This window comes from Homo sapiens, chromosome 13 (genome assembly GCF_000001405.40).
Source record: "Homo sapiens chromosome 13, GRCh38.p14 Primary Assembly".
NCBI classification, from domain to species: domain Eukaryota; kingdom Metazoa; phylum Chordata; class Mammalia; order Primates; family Hominidae; genus Homo; species Homo sapiens.
This window is the reverse complement of record NC_000013.11, coordinates 27,266,411-27,288,346: the sequence shown is the minus strand read 5'-3', so window position 1 is coordinate 27,288,346 and position 21,936 is coordinate 27,266,411. Positions and strand designations below refer to the sequence as shown.

The 21,936-nt window shown below is 46.6% G+C and overlaps 1 protein-coding gene across 3 annotated transcripts, besides 4 other annotated features; it reads right to left on the bottom strand.

Annotated features, from left to right (window-relative positions):
* Positions 1 to 13,154: 13,154 nt before the first annotated feature.
* RASL11A (RAS like family 11 member A) lies at positions 13,155 to 17,517 on the bottom strand. Of its 3 annotated transcripts, none has more exons than NM_206827.2 (4): positions 17,279 to 17,517; positions 16,807 to 16,863; positions 16,629 to 16,708; positions 13,155 to 15,320 (listed from the first exon to the last, which is right to left on the bottom strand). In NM_206827.2, exons 1-4 carry the CDS (start codon positions 17,400 to 17,402, stop codon positions 14,853 to 14,855), a joined length of 729 nt encoding a protein of 242 aa, NP_996563.1. In that variant the 5' UTR covers positions 17,403 to 17,517; the 3' UTR covers positions 13,155 to 14,852. The 3 variants fall into 3 exon arrangements, with proteins under 3 accessions (NP_996563.1, XP_024305115.1, NP_001318055.1); XM_024449347.2 differs by lacking the exon at positions 17,279 to 17,517 and adding an exon at positions 17,169 to 17,187; NM_001331126.2 differs by lacking the exon at positions 17,279 to 17,517 and adding an exon at positions 17,143 to 17,170.
* Positions 17,117 to 17,346: a silencer, noted in NCBI's record as "silent region_5199". NCBI's record gives its function as "represses an Ori minimal core promoter by ATAC-STARR-seq in GM12878 lymphoblastoid cells {active_cell/tissue: GM12878}" and the evidence as "EXISTENCE:reporter gene assay evidence [ECO:0000049][PMID:35858748]".
* Positions 17,387 to 17,606: a silencer, noted in NCBI's record as "silent region_5198". NCBI's record gives its function as "represses an Ori minimal core promoter by ATAC-STARR-seq in GM12878 lymphoblastoid cells {active_cell/tissue: GM12878}" and the evidence as "EXISTENCE:reporter gene assay evidence [ECO:0000049][PMID:35858748]".
* Positions 17,387 to 18,055: a biological region, named in NCBI's record as "H3K4me1 hESC enhancer GRCh37_chr13:27844429-27844929".
* Positions 17,555 to 18,055: an enhancer, noted in NCBI's record as "H3K4me1 hESC enhancer chr13:27844429-27844929 (GRCh37/hg19 assembly coordinates)". NCBI's record gives its function as "activates a minimal SCP1, AML or CMV promoter by ChIP-STARR-seq in naive and primed H9 embryonic stem cells {active_cell/tissue: H9 hESC(naive and primed)}" and the evidence as "EXISTENCE:reporter gene assay evidence [ECO:0000049][PMID:30033119]".

The window sequence follows — 21,936 nt, the reverse complement described above, 5'->3', positions numbered from 1 at the left end:
AAGAAGAGGCAACTCCTTTGCAGCAGGGACTGCGTGCCCCTTGCAAGAGAGAAATTGAGTCATTATTCAAAGATTAGAGTTTGAGCAGTAATGAAGTAGAAAATGTGCTAAACATCTGGCACAAGATCAACAGATACTGGTTATGGACAATGATGATGCTCTGCCAGCCCTATGTAGTGTCATTTAGTAAGCATAGCAATGGTTTCTAGACATATATATGTATGTATATATATAATATATATACACATATATGATATATATACATATATCATATATATGATATATATACGTATATACATATATCATATATATGATATATATACGTATATACATATATCATATATGTGATATATATACGTATATACATATATCATATATGTGATATATATACGTATATACATATATCATATATGTGATATATATACGTATATACATATATCATATATGTGATATATATACGTATATACATATATCATATATGTGATATATATACGTATATACATATATCATATATGTGATATATATACGTATATACATATATCATATATGTGATATATATACGTATATACATATATCATATATGTGATATATATACGTATATACATATATCATATATGTGATATATATACGTATATACATATATCATATATGTGATATATATACGTATATACATATATCATATATGTGATATATATACATATATGTACATATATTGTGTGCGTGTGTGTGTGTATGTGTAACTATTCCTTGGATTGAGAAAAGTAGAGTCTTAACAAACTAGATTTTCCATTTTAAAAGTTATATTATTGCCGGGGACAGTGACTCGCGCCTATAATCCCAGCACTTTGGGAGGCCAAGGTGAGCAGATGGCTTGAGTCCAGGAGTCTGATACCAGCCTGAGCAACATGGCAAAACTTGTCTCTACAAAAAATACTAAAATTAGTTGGGCATGGTGGTGGGTTCCTGTAGTCCCAGCTACTTGGGAAGCTGAGGTGGGAGGATCACTTGAGTCCAGGAGTTTGAGGCTGCGGTAAGCCATGACTGTGCCACTGCACTCCAGCCTGGACAACGGAGTGAGATCCTGTCTCAAAACAACAACAACAACAACAAAAAGTCATATTATGATTATTAAGAAATTAAGCAATTTTACCAAGATTTATTAATCTTGGTAAATCTTACTAATCTTGCTTGGTACCAATGTTACCAAGCAACATTACCAAGATAAAAAAGCATTAACATTAAATTCTAAGCTATTTGCATCACCCAGCCTGCCCTTCAGCATGAGGAATATCACACACTCCATGATTACTTCTACCCCAGGGCTTTCAAAAGGACTCAGTCGGCATCGCGCCCCTCCCACCTCCCAAATCTCTCGCCCTGACTTATCTTCTGAGCTGAGGGCATCTTCGAATCTCTTCAATTCAACTTCCTCTTCCACCCAGCCCCTCTGCTGGGGTACCTTCCACTGGAACAGAATGTTTCTTTCCATCCAGTTCTGCACTCGGAAGTTTGGGTCATCTTCAAGACCTCTGTCTCCTTTGCTCCAACCTCTAGGTTATAGACACCTCTCTCCTGCGGACTCTCCTTTTAAACTGTCACTCCTGCATCTGCCTCATCCCGTCTGTTCTCTCTGCCACGGCCGTAGTCCAGGGGACTTTTTATTTTATTTATTTATTTATTTATTTATTTATTTTATTTTATTTTTTGAGACGGAGTCTTGCTCTGTCGCCCAGGCTGGAGTGCAGTGGCATGATCTCTGCTCTCTGCAAGCTCCGCCCCCCGGGTTCACGCCATTCTCCTGCCTCAGTCTCCCGAGTAGCTGGGACTACAGGAGCCCACTACCATGTCCGGCTAATTTTTTGTATTTTTAGTAGAGATGGGGTTTCACCGTGTTAGCCAGAATGGCCTCGATCTCCTGACCTCGTGATCCGCCTGCCTTGGCCTCCCAAAGTGCTGGGATTACAGGCGTGAGCCACCATGCCCAGCTATTTATTTATTTATTTTTGAGATGGATTCTCACAATGTCGCCCAGGCTGGAGTGCAGTGGCGGGATCTCAGCTCACTGCAACCTCCACCTCCTGGGTTCAAGTGATACTCCTGCCTCAGCCTCCCCAGTAGCTGGGATTACAGGCATCTGCCACCACGCCTGGCTAATTTTTGTATTTTTAGTAGAGACAGGTTTTTTGCCATGTTGGCCAGGCTTGTCTCAAATTCCTGACCTCAGGTGATCCACCCACCTCAGCCTCCCAAAGTGCTGGGATTACAGGCATGAGCCACTGTGCCCAGCCTTCAGGGTACTTTTGAGATGGCCACAGTTTCCTCTTCTCTCTAACACATTCTGCTGTATTGGCTGCCCCTGGGGCTTCCACTGCCTCTTTCCTGTCTTGGAAGGACATCAATGCTCTTCACAATCTGGACGCAGACTTGCCTTCCCTCCCACTGAGTCTCTCTTATATGTGTCCGCACCAAACCAAAGGACCTGCACCTTGGAGAATGCCCAGTCACATCAGTACCTGGTACTCTGAGCACAGGCCACTGTCTCTGGCTGGAAGCTCCCCGCCTACCCGACCCCTGACATGTTCCTCAATTTGGGAGCCACATTCAGTGCCTCCTTCTCTCAGATGCTCACTTTAACCCCTCCTGTCAGAAAGACTGGAGCCCCCTTGTGGACCACCCACTCTGCTCCCAGGGCACATTGCTCTTCCTTTCTTGGGCTTCTTTGTGGGTCAGCCTTGTATTCCGTGATTTGAGCATCAATCTTAGCTTCTTTACTAAAGTTCAAGCTCCCTTGGGGCAATGTTTATTTACAGATCCAGCAGAAAGGCTGGCTTGTGGTTTATGACAGCGTCTTGTTAAAGCAGTAGCAAAGAAGGCCAGGCACGGTGGCTTACGTCCGTAATCGCAGCACTTTGGGAGGCCGAGGCGAGTGGATCACCTGAGGTCAGGAGTTCGAGACCAGCCTGGCCAACATGGTGAAACCCCGTCTCTACTGAAAATACAAAAATTAGCCAGGTGTGGTGGCAGGTGCCTGTAATCCCAGCTATTCAGGAGGCTGAGGCAGGAGAATCACTTGAATCTGGGAGACAAAGGTTGCAGTGAGCCTGGGCAACAGAGCGAGACTCTGTAACAAAAAAAAAAAAAAAAAGCAGTACCAAAGAATGCAAGATTGGCAGGCAACGTCACAGGCCTTGGGTCTCAGCTCTGCGGCTCCCTAATTGTATGACCTGGGGAAAGTCTGTCAGCTGCCATGTGCCTCAATTTGCATATCTGTAACATCAGGATGATAAATACATACCTCACAGGTCTGTTGTAGGATAAAATGAGTTAATCCAGAAATAAAACTCTTCAGAACAGTGTCTGACACATGTCAAGTGCTCAGTAGGTTTTGGGTATTATTATTCTTGGGCCCCAGCTGGAATTGCTGTGTCAGGATCTCTCTCTTATTTTTTTTTTTTGAAACGGAGTTTCGCTCTCATCACCCAGGCTAGAGTGCAATGGTGCGATCTAGGCTCACTGCAACCTCTGCCTCCTGGGTTCAAGTGATTCTGCACCCTCAGCCTCCCGCGTAGCTGGGATTACAGGCATGTGCCACCACGCTCTGCTCTGCTAATTTTTGTATTTTTAGTAGAGATGGGTTTCCCCATGTTGGCCAGGCTGGTCTCGAACTCCTGACCTCAGGTTATCTGCCTGCCTCGGCCTCCCAAAGTGCTGGGATTACAGGCGTGAGCCACTGCACCCAGCCTGTGTCAGGATCTCTGACAGTGCATTTAGACAAGTGTGATTCTACTACATGCTAGATTCTGTGGAGCATTAATGTAACCTCAACCTTTCATTTTATAAATGAAGAATTTAAGGGCCAGGTAGGCGAAATAACTTACCCAAGTTCCAAAAGGACTTGCATAATCCACTATCTAGTCTACCTTTCACAGGTTTGAACAGCTCCAGCAGCACCAATCAAGTTTGATTTTCAGATGCCTTTCCCACCCCACCCAGGGGTGCTTTGATCTCAGGGCCAGGCTAGAGGGCACCAGAGCCCATGGAACTGGCACAGAAAGGAAGCCCAGCTTTGGCCACTACACCCAACTCCTTTTACATCTCCAGATAGAGAACCAGAGCCCATGAATTACCACTTCTCTCATTTCCTCCATCCCAAGCTCCCCACATTCATAAATGAGGATGACATTGACCATCAGATGTGTTCTCCAGTCTGACCACACCCAGCTGAGGCTGGGGACCTTGCTGTGATTGGTGTGGGTGACTCAGGAGATGCTGAGACAGGCGCCCTGGAGTCTCCAGGCTTCTCGGGCCCAGAAACAGAGAAGCCACTGAGAAGACACAGGACAATGCCATTGGGGAGCAAACATCCACTTCCTTTTCTAGCCAGACTTGAAAGAAAATCACCCCTTCTCTTTTTCGTCCCATACAAACCTGCAAAAACCCAAGAAACTCTATCTTACAATATTCTCAGCTCCTTAAATAAATTGTAATTTTCGGTCAGACAAGAGCCGCCATGCTAAGGAGTGCATTTCTCTGTCACATGGTGGAAGTGAATGAAGGGATATGGTTAAGTTCAGCGCCCTTGCCTTAAAGGAAGAAAGTCTGGCTCAGGCACGGTGGCTCACGCCTATAATCCCAGCACTTTGGGAGGCTGAGGCGGGTGGATCACCTGAGGTCAGGAGTTCGAGAGCAGCCTGGCAAACATGGTGAAACCCCATCTCTACTAAAAATACAAAAAATTAGCCGGGCGTTGTGGCAGCACCTGTAATCCCAGCTACTCGGGAGGCTGAGGCAGGAGAATCTCTTGAACCCGGGAGGCAGAAGTTGCAGTGAGCCAAGATTGCACCACTGCACTCCAGCCTGGGCAACAGAGCGAGACTCTGTCTCCAAAAAACAGGAAGGGAGCCTGCTCTTGCCCTGCCCTTTCCAGCCCCCTTTCTGCTACCAGGAATGTGGACGTGGCTGAGAGCCATCGTGAGGGTGGCACCTGGGAAAGGCAGAGAGACAGAGAGGGGGTGCCAGGGCCCCCAAGAATCCCCAGAGCGGAGCATCAGTGCCCAGCTTACCTGCATGTGTGGGAGAAAGACACTTGTCTCTTATGGGAGCCATTTGGATTTCATATCAGCTAAACCACACTCTAGTCTAGAATTCAGGAATCCAGTACAGAGTCCCATTTTCTTCTGCTCTGGGCTGCCCGAGCCTGGCAGCGAGGCATGGATTTGGATTCTGAAAGAGCACTGGCTTTAGATTCAGAGAGATTCAGGCGTTAATGTGGGCTCTGACATTTACTACCTGTACCAGTTTGCTAGTGTTGCAGTAATCAAGTACCACAAACTTGGGGGCTTAAACAACAGACATTGTCTCCTGGTTCCAGAGGCCGAAGTCCAGAATCAAGGATTGGTAGGGCTGTGCGCCTTCTGGAGGAGCTAGGAAAGGATCTGCTCCCGGCCTCACTCCTGCCTTCTGTGGTTTCCTTGGCTTGTGTACACATCACCCCTTCATCTCTGCCTTAATCTTCACGTGGCATTCTCCCCCAGTCTCCTCATGTAGGCTTCCCTCTGTCTCTGTGTCCAAATCTTCCTTTTTTATAAGGACACCAGCCACATTGGATTAGGACCCACCCTAATGACCTTGTTGTAATTTAACTATCTCTGTAAAGACCCTAACTCCAAATACGGCTGTACTCCGAGGTCTTGGGGGCTGTGCATATCTATTTTGGGATAACACAACTCAATCCACCATAATAACTCTCTGCACTAACAGACTTTGGTTGTTAACACCCCAGTTAAAAATCTCAGTTTCCCCAGTAGAAGCCCCCAGCACACACCTTGGAGCTGGTCACTGCAGTTGTCATGTTTACACTTGAAAGTAGGTGCCACCTCCCATCAGCCAATCACCACTAAATATGTGTGGTGGCCTTTGCTGTTTTTTCTGGCTACTCTCGGTCTCCAGACCCCCTTTGCCTTATGATCCTGGGTGACCGGCAGGGCCCCTCTACCACAAAGATGATACAAATGCCAGATATTTAGGATCTCAGCCTCCCTTAGAGCTGCACAGCCTCCACTGTGGTCCTCCAGCTATCTCAGTCAGTGACTCTGTGAGTTACTCAACAGCCTTTTAATATAACCCCTTTTCACTAAATCAGCCAGTCTGTTCTATTGCTTGCAAGTGACAGCCTTGACAGATACCATATAATATTCAACGTCCAAATAGTTGATTAGGAGAGTGGTAGCAGCTTCCAGATGATCCATGAGGATGCATACAGTAAGACAATTGGCTTGGAAGCCACACAGTATAGTGGCTTTCGAGTCAGGAAGACTCAGATTCAAATCTCAGCTGTGCCACTTACTAGCTGAGAAACCATGAGAAAGTGAACTAGCCTCTTTGAGCCTCATTTTCCTCCTCTGTGAAATGGTGATTATAGTAAACTACTTAATAGAATTGTTGGGGGAATTCAACGAGATAATGCAGCTAAAACCCATACTGCATATGATTATTCATTTTATGTGTCAACTTGACTGAGCCATGGAGTGCCCAGATATTTTGTCAAACATTATTCTGGGTGTGTCTGTGAGGGTGTTTTTGGGTGACATTAACACCTCAATTCAGCAGGCTGAGTAAAGCAGATGGCCCTCTCTCATGTGTGTAGGCTTCTTCCAATCATTTGAAGGCCTGAATAGAACAAAAAGGTTAACCTCCCCTAAGCAAGAGGGAATTCTGCCAGCAGATGGCCTTTGGACTTGAATTATACCATCAGCTCTGGTTCTCCAGCTTGCTGAATGCAGATCTTGGAACTTGTCAGCCTCCATAATTGCATGAGTCAATTTATTATGATAAATTTCTTTCTATATCTATGTCTTTACCTATACCTGTTACCAATATTGACGTCCATATAGGCATAGCTATAGATATAGACATAGACAGATAGATATGGATATAGATTAGATATAGATACAGATATAGATATCTCCTATTGTTTGTTTCTCTGAAGAAGGCTAACACACTGTGACACATGGAACAATAGTGTATACTTAGTAACTATGGCAGCTAATTGTGGTTGTTAATTTTATTATGATGCTACAATGTGGCCAGCATACAGGGCCCCAGCCACAGCCCCTCAAACACTGTGGCAGCATCCTCATATTTTCCCCAAGTGTGGGGAAAATCAATGGCCTTTCTTTTTAAACTCTGAACCTGTTACCTCTCTCTTGCCTCTCCCAGCACATAGACAGGTGCATGTGCACACATACGGCATGCAATTCCTGGAGACAGTGCTGGATAAGATCAATGGAGGGGGCAGGAGTGGGAGGGGGAATGCTTTGAGCTCTCAAAGGTGCATTGCAAATTTCTGCTCTGGCATAGTAACCATTCACTCCCACAGCCCTGGGACACGGGGATGACATTCGGTCACCTCCTCCTCTTCACAAGATGCTAACCTGCTGCCTCCTAGACAAAAGAAAGCACATGAACCACCAAGGGCTGCCGTAGAGGCTGCCTCTCAGGGCTCTGGTAAGAGAAGAGAGAATGTGGCCAGTGGGAGGGTGTCCCTGGGGCCCGTTGATGTAGATAATACCCACTACCCCCATCTCCAGCCCACTATGCCCATCCTAGAATGGCTTTCAAAGGGGTGACTCAAGGTCACCTGGCCATGGAGAAGGACTCAGCTCTGCCAAGTGGTACTGAGGCAGTCTGGACGCAGCTTGGCTGGATCAACTCACCCAGCACCCAGCCTCATGGCAGGACACCCAGCAATTCCTGTCTTCTTCCCATCAAGGCTTTTGCTGTCCAAGTCTGACTGCCCCTTGGATAAACAAGAAGCCTGGAACAAGTCCAGACCAGGGTCTTGCTCACAGGCTTCAAAGCTGGACGTCAGGTATCAATGCCAACCAGGAAGTTTGCTGAATTGCAAGTTCCCCACCAACCACAGCTCAAAAACATAGCAACAGAACCCCTGGGGCTAGACCCTGAAGCTGCATTTTTTACAAGTTCCCCACAAATATGTCAGCAGGCACAAAGACCTGGGCAGAGGAAACAGCCTGAGCTGCGGGGGATTATCTTCCCTTCCTGGAGCCAGAAATCCTGGTTTCTGGGCTCATATGACTTTAGGCCATTCATTGCTTGACTTCTCTGGGCCTCAGTTTCCTAATCTGAAATATGGGAGACACTTTTTTGGGGCATATGTGAAAAAACAAAATATGCTGAAACAGGGAAACTTCCCTTGTCCCCCTCACAGGGCATGTGACGGGGGAGTGGCTCACTTCTTCAGTGCCCCACTGCTCAAACCTCTAGGGGAGCATACAGACAGGCAGGCTGTGGGGCTCTGACCCCACGACAGTGTCTAGATGCGAACGTTTACAGCTAAAGGCCCAATGGGCGTGTGTTACAGGGTGCTTTTTTAGTTTGCCGTCTATAGGCGGCTTCTGTTAGCTCAATTAGACCCCTGCCTTATCGCAAGGACAGAGGGCTTTCTGTATGCCGGGGTTTCCTGCCTTGGTGTACTGGAAGAATCGGATCACAGGTGGGCTTGGAGAATGAGTGCAAGGTTTTATTGAGTGGAAGTAGCTCCCAGCAAATGGGGGAGCCAGAAGGGAGATGGCTTTTCCCTGCAGTCAAGCTGGCCCGGGCTCTCCTCCAACTACCCCAGCCAAACTCAGTGTTATTCTGCTGGCCTGCCGGAGAGCAGGTGCCTATGGGTGTGTTGCTCTGGACATCCAGCCACCTGCATGTTCCTTAACTGATGCGCTCCTCTGTATATCCAGCTATGTGTGTGTCTGCTTGCTGGGGTGTCAGGGTTTTTACAGGCACAGGATGGGGGCGTGGCAGGCCAGGGTGGTCTTGGGAAATGCAACTTTTGACAGAAAAGCAAAAATGCCTGTCCTCACCCAGGTCTGTGGGGGTGGAGCCCTACCAGGGACCACACCCTCCTCTACCCAGCATTTCCCTTCCCCTCTTCTGTATCATTTAAAGGGACCACACTCTTCCCATCCCAGCACTCTCATATCAATGGGAGCGATAATAGTTCTATCTCAATGGACTACTTAGAAAATTAACCCAGCATACATAAAAGATCAATAATTGTTAGGTGTTATTATTGAAGAAACAACTATTCCCTTGCAAACCTTCTTTTTCCCAGAAGTGAAATGGGAAAAATCATGTACTTCAAAGCAACTACTGTATCTTTTAGAGTATACAAGCAAGCCCAAGAAACACTCTTTTGCAAAAGCAGCTTCATAATGTACCAAGGTATTTTACTTTTATTTATTTATTTTTAAAGCTGGGGTCTCACTATGTCGCCCAGGCTGACCTTGAACTCCTGTGCACAAGAGATCCTCCCACCTTATTCTCTCAAGTAGCCAGGACTACAGGCCTAAAATATTTAAAAATAAATGAATAAACAACTACAACTTACTGACCAACTTATTTGTGTCAGATTCCACAAACAATTCTGTCTGATGGGTAGTATTATTTCCATTTTAAGATAAGGAAGCTTATATCACCAATGGCAAAGTTGGGATTTGAACACAGACCTCATTCTGGAACGTGTGCTATTCTGTCTCCACAAAGCTGGTTAGTAACAGCCTATTCATTGGCAGGAGCTTCTGAAGCATCCTTGTTTTCCCAGTTATAAATCCACATTAGTATTGCTCGGCGAAATTGGGTTATATAAGTAAGCCCTGCAGTTAATAGTGTTTTTCCAATATAAGCAAAGAATGCCAGTAAGAAATGGCAGTAAATATTTTACAATTTTAACTCATTAATCTTGAACTGAACTCATGCCTCTAAGGAAATGATGCTTTACAATTTGTAAAGTAAGAAACATCCTTTCTTAGTAAGGATACTTTCACACTCTTCGGAGTTTTTGCTTCCATCCGCCCTCAGCTCTGTGATCTGCATCCTCCATTGATTTTGTCAACACCCTCAGGTAGGGTCAGAGTTTAAATTTACATCTCTCGGAAAAAAGTCACACCTTCGGAGGTGTGACCCAGAACTCCCACTGAACTCAGTTCCTGGGAAAGGAGGCTGTCTTGGTCACAACAACATGTAGCACAGGGCTTTTTGCACAAAGTGGATTCTCAATGGATGTGATTTAAAATAATGCAAATCACTGTTGTCATGGTTTTTCTAAAGATATGAGGAAAACTGAAGGCATCTATTTTGTTCAAGTAGCCTTTCTCTGGAGAATGTTCTCTGAGTTAAAGAAGGGGAAAGGAGGCCAGGTACAGTGGCTCACACCTGTAATCCCAGCACTTTGGGAGACTGAGGCAGGGGGATCCCTTGAGCTCAGGAGTTCGGGACCATCCTGGGCAACATGGTTGTTGAAACCCTGTCTCTACCAAAAATATAAAAATTAGCTGGGTGTGGTGGTGCGTGCCTGTAATCTCAGCTACTTGGGAGACTGATATGGAAGGATTGCCTGAGCCTGGGTAGCAGAGGTTGCGGTGAGCCGAGATGGCACTATTGCACTCCAGCCTGGGTGACAGAGTGAGACCTTGTCTCAAAAAAAAAAAAAAAAAAAAAAAAAAGAGGCCAGGGAGATGGTTGGGAAAGGAGCTGTCTCTGACAGTTTGACGAAGAAAACTCAGGATATAGATATATACCCCTTGTTATGGTTAATACTGAGTGTCAACTTGATTGGATTGAAGGATACAAAATATTGATCCTGGGTGTGCCTGAGAGGGTGTTGCCAAAGGAGATTAACATTTGAGTTAGTGGGCTGGGAAAGGCAGACCCACCCTTAATCTGGGTGGGCACCGTCTAATCAGCTGCTATTGCGGTTAGAATATAAGCAGGCAGAAAAATGTGAAAAGAGAAACTGGCCTAGCCTCCCAGCCTACACCTTTCTCCCATGCTGGATGCTTCCTGCCCTAGAACATCAGACTCCAAGTTCTTCAGTTTCGGAATTCAGACTGGCTCTCCCTGCTCCTAAGCCTGCAGATGGCCTATTGTGGGACCTTGTGATTGTGAGAATTAATACTTAATAAACTCCCCATTACATACATATATCTGTTCTTTAGTTCTGTCCCTCTAGAGAACCCTGACTAATACACCTCTGTTCTCGTGAACAATAAAAAAATAACTTTAGGGACCCCAATATTTTTAACAGTTCAGCTTAGCCAATATTTTTGAGGATCCTGCTGTGTACTGGACACTTGAACAGGTGCTGTGGAGCTGAAGATAAATGAGGACTCAGTCAAATCCTAACAGAGCTGATTTTCTACTAGAGGAGAAGTACACAAGAAGATCCAGACATGGGAGGCTTCTGGACATTTCATCTAAGATAGGCACATTTCTACTCTGTTATGCTGAAAACTGCTTTGCCATTGCAACCAAATCATCACTTCCATAGATTAATTTTTTTCTAGGGCCCTAGCTCAATTAATGGTGTTTGGAAAATAATCTTTTTTTTTTTCCATATCACATCTTTCTTCCTAAGTGCCACAGTAGCTTGAAACTAATTTTAACAAAGTCTTTCAAAATATTCCACCTTTTGGAGAGAGAGTAAATGGTAATAATAGTTTATTAATCACAGAAAATATATTTGCATTGTAAATCTGAATTGGTAACTTTGCATAATGAGAAGTTGAAATCGCAACATATACAAGGAACAAAAAAGCAATTTGAGCCCCAATTTATGACTAAACAGTCATCTTGTCTTTTTTATTTGCTCTATTGTTTACCACTGCCTTCCTCAGTATTTATTTTAATCCATTTCTCTAAACAGATATTAATAAACTTTAGAACTTCCATTGTGCCCTTCGCCTAAACACAAGCAAAACAAATTTATTTTCTTCTATTATAATTGACTTATTTTTCCATTATTCGAGTTTGCTTCTCATGAGTTGCATGTGAAGTACGGAATGTTTGCAGGATGTACAATTTAGCCATTTTGGATTGCATCCATTTCTCCAGAACGACACTGATTGCAACATTAATTAAATCATTCTGCAGAGTTTTAAAGCAGAATCAGTGACTGAGCCTTGACCAGAAGGAGAACGAGTGCCAGCAGTGGAGGCCTGGGGGTTTCAGAGACAGATTTTCCCACTGAGACAGGGATGCTTCCCACAGAGGCAGGGATGGAGGAGGGAGGTGAAGTGGGTGGGGGAAGCCGCAGTCCCACCTCTCTCATGAGGATAGAGGTAAATTCTTGCACCGGCCGTGACACCTCAGAGGTAAGGCAAAACTATTGGATAAAATGCACAGATACTGTTCTCTCCACATCCACCAAGTTTTTTTTAATGTTCTACCCAATGTTCTGTCCAGTGTTTCAGGACTTCTGACCCCGCCTGCAAAATAATGACACCCATGGCTCTCTCAACTATGCCCTCCCCATTGGTGAGGGAAGGGGATGTTGGCTTAGAGCTCAGCTTCCCCTGTTAGGGCTTCCTTAGCACTCAGCCAAGCCCATATCCTCAGCTCTCTTCCCTACACAAATTCCCCATCTAACCGCTTTCCAAAAACTCCATGCTCACCTCTTCCATCTCCGGGGCTACCATCCCAGGAGCCTTCCAGATGCTCCCTAAGCACCATGCCATGATCCCCAAGAGACCCCACTGCTGATCAGCAGGAGGCCTGGGAAAGAGCGGTCACAGGCAACGAAGTTTCTCCATGACCAGCAAGCCAGCTCCTGTGCTGGGCCAGTTCCAGGGACCAGAGAATAAAGCTGGCCGTGAAGCCCTGGAGGCCAATTATTTATGATGCTGGGAGAGAAAGAAGACAGGGTAGGGTGATTTCTGCTTGGCCCATCAGCCTGCCTGAGCCCACAAGGCTGTGAGTCCCTTTGAAATGGCCTTGGGACTCATCTTTTGACCCTTCTGATCCACAGCCTGCTCCCCTAAAGAGCTCAAGATGACTTTCTGTTCTTACCATTCACTCATTTGAAACTTGATCATAGGTGGCCTGGGGACATCTCTTGTCTTATTCTTTAGCTTTTAGATTATGATTTAACTTTTTCCCATGGGATGTTTGATCTCAGTTCCTTGAAGGCAGAGAAGCCCCTGGTGACAGGTGGCAGTCTGGACATGTTGTAGGCATGGCAGGGACTAGGAGAATCAGTTGTTCTTGGGTCTACACCTACAATGTTAAGATGCACGGCAGGAAGCAGAACAGATGACAGAGCTTTTGTTTTGAGAGCACGCAAACAAGGAGAATGTGAGGCATTTTTTAAAAGATGGAATCCAAATTAATATTTTATTTGGACACTCTTTTAGACATGCATCATCTAATTTTCTTAACCCTTCATGCCATTTTGTATAGGTAGACTCCCTTCAACTACAGGGAAAAGTGGTGCTGACATCACAGGTCTGGACAGAGCTGTCCTTTTGGAAGGGTAATGGTCTGTGATTGCCAGAAGCTGCATATGTCAGTCCCTTTCCACCACAGCTATCTTTAATTACTCAGAACACCTGTCCTTGCCCTGCAGAAGTAACAATTTGTTTCATGGTAATCTCCCATCATTGACCCTTGGCACCATAAGTGGTGCATTCATTCATTTATTCATTATATGTTTACTTAAAACTTACCACTCTATGGGGAAGCACTGAACTAGAAGATTGGAAGACAGGATCATAAAATGCAGCTACTGCCCTCGAGGGGGACTCCTTCTAATGGAGTAACAAATAGCTACCTGACAGGGTTGGGTTATAACACAAATGCTCCAGGAATAGAGGAAGACCAGAGAAGGCATTTCAGAGCTGAATATAGCATGTGACTTGGGTTTTTAAAGATGAGTTAGCAAGCCATTATGTGTAGAATCAGAAAAAATATTTGAGGCAAAGGGATAGTTTGTGCCAAGGCAGGAAGACATGAAAGAGCCTGGAGCAGCTGAGAAAGACAATCTGTTGGAATGGACTGACTGCTGGTGTGTGTTTTGGAAGGAGGGGTTGATAAGCCTGGAGAGGTGGTAAAGAATCTTGATGCCATGTCTCATGTCTATCTTAACCAGTAGCTAAGGGGAAACCAGCTGGGTTTTTTATAGAAATAAAATGATTAGGGTTAGTTTTAGTAGCATTGTTCTGATGTGAAGAGACAATTAGGAGATGTCATTCTAGAAGGCAAGAAACATGAGTCTTGCCTAGATTCTTGCCTGCCAGTCAAAGGGAGGTCTAGATTAAGGGACAGTGAGGCTTTAGAGAAAAACAGGAGTGAGGATGGACATATCTGGTGCCCTATTGGAAGGGAAGGAGAATTTTGAGGCAACTTTTGGGTGGTAGGGTCCACTTACTGACATAAGGAATACTAGAAAAGGGGTTGTTTTTTAATATGGGTAGAGTATAAACTTGCATTTGCACCAATAAATGTTACTCATGGCTTGTAACGTTTTAGCATTGTACCCCTTCCCTTGAAAATCACACAGTGTCAATTTCATGACTGGTGGCAGTGTCCCATTTAAAGACCTCCTGCCGTTATTAAAATCCCTCTCCTCCTCCACATACTTTCCTTTCTCCCACAACAGACTCCCTCTACATGAACTCCTCCCCACTGCGAGACACCAATCAGAGTTCAGACTGAGGGCAAGCATGGAGCAGCACTGGGCGCTGGTGCAAGTACAATTTCTATAAAAAGACATTGAGAAAACAATGAGCAATGTTGCCATTTTGCCTTTAATGGAAAAGTGGCCAGCAGTTACAGTAAAAAAAAAAAAAAAAAAAAAAAAAAAAAAGTTCTTTTAATAAAACAAAACAAAATTTTATCCAGCTTCTAGGCAATCACTGTTTGAATTTTCAGAAATACACATGTACTTGAAAATCAATTTTTTTATAAAAATAAACTCTGAATGTGTGATTAAAAAGCGAGAAGCCCAGTCTTTTAGCTGCACAAATGCGTATTAAAAAGGAGAGGCATCTGTCTGAGATAGTTCACCCCAGTGCAGAGGGGGCTTTGACTTTGGGAGACAGAGCCTGCTTGAAGCGTCTCTTCAGGTCCTGCATGTTGGGAGAGCGGGGCCGAGGGATGATGGAGGCTCTTCTTCTTTCCCCACTGAGGCCGTGCATCTTGCTCACTTCTTTGCAGAGATGCTGAAACACATCACAGACATCTTCGTAGTTTTCGCTAGTGGAAATTTCAAGGAACAGGCTGCCCAGCTCATTGGCTAGCTGAATACCGTCCTGTGTCTGCACCTGCCGGGCATGCAAAAGGTCCCCCTTGTTGCCCACGATGATGACAGGGGCTTTAGAGTCAGGGTGGACCTTCCGGATGTGCTGATAAAGGGGTCGGATGGACAAGTAGCTGTCATAGTCTGTGATGGAATAGACCAGCAGAAAACCCTCGGCCCACTGCACGCATTTGGACAGGGAATCGACGACCTGGGGGAGGCTGTCTTGGATCTGAGAAAACATCAAAATGAGATCCAGTCAAGGAAACCCTCAGTGGGAGATAAACTCAAAACAACATCAAGGCAACCCTTGAAGAAACACTTGAAAAAGAAATCTCTAAATACAGTTTTCAGTTTCCACCCAGCTTCTGCAGAAGCAGGCTTTTGATATGGAAAGAACAGATTCCCAGGCAAACTCCCTGCCTGAGTTACTTTATTAGCTGTTATCCCTGCATTATTTTTAAACCCCTTGCTTGTCAGGCAGTCTCTGGTGAACCATGGCTGACTGAAGAATGACCTCAAACCAGAATGGCTCAAGTTTTAGGAAACACTAACTCATAATAAACAAAACTTTGAAAATAAGCCAAGATAAATATCTATTCCCAAACTCATAAAAACATTTTTAACATGCACTTCTTAAGAATGTTACAGAAAGAAATTCCTTTCTTAGGGTTCTTCCACAAGACCTTTCCTCTGGAGAACGGAGTAGCAATTAGTAACTGGTTAATAAACAAGTTACATTCTAGACCCTCTGCCAAGGGGTTATCTGATTGCAATTACTGACTTGAGGGAACAGCCATTAACAGCAGCAGTTCAGCAGTGCTTGGGCCGGGCGCTGTGGCTCATGCCTATAATCCCACCACTTTGGGAGGCCGAGGTGGGCGGATCACTTGAGGTCAGGAGTTCGAGACCAGCCTGGCCAACATAGTGAAACCCCATCTCTACTAATAAATAAATAAATAGATAAATAGCTGGGAGTTCCGGCGGGTGCCTGTAGTCCCAGCTACTCGGGAGACTGAAGCAGGAGAATCGAGGAGAATCGCTGGAACCTAGGAGGCGGAAGTTGCAGTGAGCTGAGATCCAGCCACTGCACTCCAGCCTGGGCAAGAGTGAAACTCCGTCTCAAAAAAAGCAGAGCTTGCCAGGGGAGAAGAGTCTCTCCCATCAGAATCCTACCTCTTTTTTTGTTTTGTTTTGTTTTGTTTTAAACGTTTTTTTCTTTGTTAATGGTTCCATGGCTACCTCCGGAAGAAATGGTGAGACCTGCTTAAGTAGTGATGGCCCACCAGGGTTGCAAAGTGAAGTTAAGTCAGGTGCTTAACAAGAGGAGGCTGCTTCTAACCATGCCTCCCCCTTAGAGAGTTTCTAACACCCCAACCACTGGCCCCACCTGTGGACAGCCCATTCCTCCCTCTAAACGCACAGGTCGGTTTAGATGCCTTGCTCAGACCCCTGCGCCCAGCATGGGCGCCCTACGTGCTGTGCCCACTGGGGTGGTCTCACGGGTGGGGGTGAGCTGTTTGCCCCTGGCGGTTCTTACCTGGACGCCCCCGGGAGTATCCTGGATCTGCAGGGAGAGCTGGTCCCCCTCGACATAGACCAGCCGTGAATACAGCTTGCCTGGAGAATGAAGTAGAGTTTGCTTTTTAATTCTCAAACTCCCATCCGTAAAAAGAAACACGCAAGCATAAAAGCAGGGAGCGTGAAAGTATTCTCACCTGTATTCGGTTCATAGTCTCCAATGAATCTCTTGGTCAGGAAGCGCACGATCATTGCTGAAAAGGAAATAGGAAAATCAACCGAAGGAGTAGAACAAGCCTGTCAAACCCAGGCACCTCGGACAAACTGGGGGGAGTGAAGGGTGCAGAACCGTGGGCACTGCTCGCTTCCAGAGGCTCCGCAAAGCCGTGGTGCCGCGGGCTTGGCCGCGAGTACGACTGGCGGGACACCTCTCCCGCACCCCATCCCCGAACAGGCGCCAATCCCGCCGAGATCCCAGGAGTAGATGCACCAGGAAACGCCAGGGAAGCAGGCCGGGACGGACCGGGACCCACCCAGCGCGAAAGCAGCCCGATTCTACCTGCACCCGCGCCCTCTGCTTCGGCCGAGGCGCCCTCTCTCCGCAGCGCCCCCAGTGGTCGCGGCCGGAGCCGGGGAGCGAAGCCGCCCGGGGGTCCCCGCCGCACTCACCGCTCTTGCCCACGCGGCCGGCGCCCAGCACCGCCAGTTTGATGTCCTTGGGCAGTAGGTAGTCCGAGGAGGACTCGGGGATGGGTGCGAGCAGAAAGTGCCCGGACATGCTGAGCGGCCGCATGGAGCGCGTCCCGGGGTCCGGCGCGCAATCCGAGAGGGCTGGGCCTCGCCGCACCCGGAGCCGGCTCGCCAGCTGGGAGTGCGGGACTAGAGGTCCGGGACCGCGGCGGCTGCCTGCAGAACTGTCAAGGCCCGCGGCTTTTAAAGGGCTTGGTGCGCCCGGGAGCGCGGCGGCCGTCCCAGCTCCTCCTCGTCTCCGCCCCTTCCCGGAGCGGCCGGGAGGGGCGGGAGCAGAGGCCGCGGAGCTGACTATCGCCGAGGCTGTGCGCTTCGCCGGGCTGCTAGCTGCTCGCGGCTCCAGGCGCTCTGCGGCAGGACTGCGGCTCCGGGGCTCAGACCCTGGAGATACGGCCACCGTCCAGAGCGCGCGAGTGGCCTCTAGTCAGGCATTCTGCGAGTCTCCTCGCCCCGCAGCAGCCAGCCGGAGTCACTAGACCTGTGGGTGAACTTGAGATAGGAGTTACGAGTTGACGAGAGAAGAAGAAAAAGTGCAATCAGTTGGATGTTTCTGCAACAATGGGACAGATTGCTGTAAAACGCTGCCCTTTTTATTTTTAAAAGGTGCTAAGGGGCTGGGCGCGGTGGCTTACGCCTGTAATCCCAGCACTTTGGGAGGCCCAGGTGGGCAAGATCATCTGCGGTCAGGAGTTCAAGACCAGCCTGGCCAACATGGCGAAACGCTGTCTCTACTAAAAATACAAAAATTAGCGGGGCGTGGTGGTGGGCGCCTGTAATCCCAACTACTCGGGAGGCTGAGGCAGCAGAATCGCTTGAACTAGGGAGGCGGAGGTTGCAGTGAGCCGAGATGGCACCACTGCACTCCAGCCTGGACCACAAGAGCGAAACTCCGTCTCAAAAAAAAAAAAAAAAGAAAGAAAAGAAAAGATGCTAAGGGGTAACATTAATATGGGAAAAGGGCGGGGGGCGGGGGGCAAGAGCTCTGAATTAGTATCAGTGGAGGCAACTGCAGTCACTGTGACCTTGCTAGGGATAGATGAAGTCCCCTTAGGGGCAGTGATGGTTAGCATCTCAGTATCCATGCCCAGCCCCTCCTCTGCAGGCAGGGGTTGCACTGGCTCATTCCTGAACACTCATGAGCACTCCACTGGCTGGGGGCCCTGGCCCTGCACTAAGTGTCCATCATTAATACTATCCTATGTGCTTGAGTCATGCATTTGCTTCAGTATCCAAATATTTACTTCTAGGTGCATGGTGGGGTCTAGGGTGGGGTGGGGGGCAGTGTGAGGAACAGGACACAGAGCTATAGACTGGTTCTTGGATTTCTGGAGCCCACCAGAAATAGCACAGCAGAAGCCTCAGGACTTTAACCTTGAACAGTTAGAAGACCTTCATGCCTCTGACCTCCTGTGTTCCAGCCTCACTTGCCTAATCGCCTATTAGACAGCCCCACCCTAATTCATACCTTTCTCTACCCTGGTTGTACCAGTTTTTGCTGCATGACAAGCCACACCAAACTAGATGGCTTAGAACAACAATCACTTACAGTTGTTGAGCCCTTTGATGCATCTGCAGGGAGCTTCCAGGTTCTGGAAGTGGGGGCTGGCTGCCCTTGGATAGCCTTACTCATGTCTGGCAGCTGTTGGCTGTGATGAGGGAGGGTAGTGACTGAGTTACATGTCTCTTCTCATTCAGCACGTTGGCCAGGGCCTGCCTTCATGGTAGCTGAGCAGAGTTCCAAGAGAGTGGGTGGAAATGGATAAGGCCTCTTGAGACCTAGGCCTTGAGAAGGAACCCATCCCTTCTGCTGCATTCTGTTGGCCAAAGCAAGTCATGGGGCCAGCCCATATTCAAGGAGTAGGGAAATACACTCCGCCCCTTTGTGGAAACAGCAGAAAAGTCACGTGTGAAAGGGCAAGGAAGCAGAGAGTGATGGAGAATGGGGTCCATTTTTGTAATTGACCATGCTAATGAATGTGTCTCCATCCACCCAGTGGCCCAAGCCTGGGAGACATCCTTGACTCTACCCACTCTCTCACTTCCACATTGATTAATCGCCAAGTTCCATCATTTCTCCTCCTATATTTCTTGGTGTCTCCCTCTGTATCCCTACTGCTCTCATTTCTTTTTTTTTTTTTTTTTTTGAGACGGAGTCTCGCTCTGTCGCCCAGGCTGGAGTGCAGTGGCGCAATCTCGGCTCACTGCAAGCTCCGCCTCCCGGGTTCACGCCATTCTCCTGCCTCAGCCTCCCAAGTAGCTGGGACTACAGGCGCCCGCCACTACGCCCGGCTAATTTTTTGTATTTTTAGTAGAGACGGGGTTTCACCGTTTTAGCCGGGATGGTCTCGATCTCCTGACCTCGTGATCCGCCCGCCTCGGCCTCCCAAAGTGCTGGGATTACAGGCGTGAGCCACCGCGCCCGGCCTCATTTCTTATCTGCAGAATTCTGAATAATCCTGAAGTAAACTAATCTAGACTAGATGGTGACTTCAGTTTACATGTTCCTCCCTTGGAGAAGCCGTCTCTGATCACTGCCACTGTCCCCACCCCTATCTTGCAGTTACTCACTCTCAGGGCACTGATCTCAACTATCATTACTTTCTGGTGGAATATTTGTTTCATGTCTGTCTCCAGGAGGACAGGGACTCTAGCTTGTGACTCTAGTACCCAGCACATAGTGGCACCTGGGACTGGCAAGGTCCTTAATAAATGTTTGTTCACTGGCTGACTTTCCAAATGAATGAATGAATGCTGTCTTCAGTGTATGAACTGGAAAATACAGAAGTCATGTTTCTGACCATTTTCCCATTGCCTTGGTTTTGAGAGCAGCTTGCTCTCAGGAAGACGTGTGCTGGGAGATGTCCTGAGATAAACTGCCATATTTAAGTTGTACTGACTTTTGACTGTTCATAAGGCAATTTTCTCTGTTAAACTGCAGTTTAATTGAAAAGACTTGAAGCAAGGCACCTTCCTCCCTGATGGGGGAAAAGGCACCATAAAGACAATGACTGTCTAGGGAACAACTGGAAGCTGTTAAGTTCCAGGGTCACGTGCAGCTCCGTGATGGGGGTCTGGGCTGTTGTCTCTGATTCCTTTTGACTTCTCCTTTATGGATGCAGGGTGGCTCCTGCAGCATCAAGTCCTTACCCAAACAGGAAGGGAAGGAAGTACTCTCTTAGTTGTTCTCTTTATGAAATAAAGCAGTTCTCACAAGAACTCAGCAGACTCTCTCTTACATCTCACTGGCCAGAACAGAGAAACTGGGAAAGAGATTACTCAAGTATCTAGCAAAGAAGACTGGGATGGCCATGACTAGTTTAGACAATCATGATTCCTCCCTCTAGCTGGACATACCACCACCCCCATCCAAAATCAAGAACTCACAGAGAGAATGACTGCCAAGGAGATCTGCCATAAACCCTATTCACCTTCCTGGAGTGAAAATCCAGCACTTTCAAGGGAAAAGAGTCCTTTCTTGGTGGAATGCTGAGTATCTCTGTCTCTCCTCACCTCCTTCTCTGTTTTACATTCCCAGTCTGGAATAAGACCATTGTAGCTTAAGGTCAGCCAATAAGGAAGATTCCTAAGACTGTTCTCTGCCCAGTGATAATTATGTTCCACTTTGCATTTACATTGCACCTTTGCTCAGAAGAGCTCAACATGTTATTTCATTCTCCTTGGAAAAGCTCTTTGCATTTATAAATATACAAAATAATCCATGACCTTCTAGTGAAGACAGTAAGTGACTGAACTGTAGAATTATAAATAGCCTTGCCTAAATTGTTGCTGCTTGTGTTCTGCCATTTCCTTTTAAATTTGTGTCCAGAGTTATGTAAAACTATGGTGCAACCAATATAACAGGCGTGCTGAAGTGGTTTTAAAAAGATAATAGAAATGCGTAGGCATGGATACAGATATACAAATCTGTGGGTGTTTAGAATGAGCATAAAGGCCAGAGTTTGGTAATATGCAAATAATAGCACACTTGGGAAGTTATTAACTCTTTCCCAGTCAAATAAAAGCTTGAATTCTAGTCATCAGGCAAAATTTTGCCAAGGGTCCTCCTCTTGTTCACAAACAACTCCCCCACCCCAGCCATAACCCAACATCAACTCCCTCTCCTGTATATCCTAAGTCCTTGACTATTGAGTTTACCGGAGCCTCAGAGCCCCTGCCTTTGAGGTGCTCTCCCTAAACAGGAATCATGGCTCTGCCCTCTACCAGCTCCCTATTTTACTTCAACTCAGCAGGCACAATTACTGAAAATTGACTCTGTGAGGCTCTGTGATAAGTGCTTGCGCAGAACATAAAGAGCAGCGAACATTTACTAAGACAGCAAAGTATAACACACTCCTGCCTGCCTTCACAGACATCCCTGTAGTGAAGAAATTTATCAAATTCACTATCATTTATAAATTACTGTTGAGTTTACCAAGAAAATTCTCAAATATTATCTTAATTTTTAATTAATCCTGTGAAACAGGTAAAGAATATCCTCTAAATTGTGGTTTAGACAAATTGAGTAACTTATCCAGTCACAGAGCCATATAGTGGTGCAGGCCTCAAGCCCTCTGAGT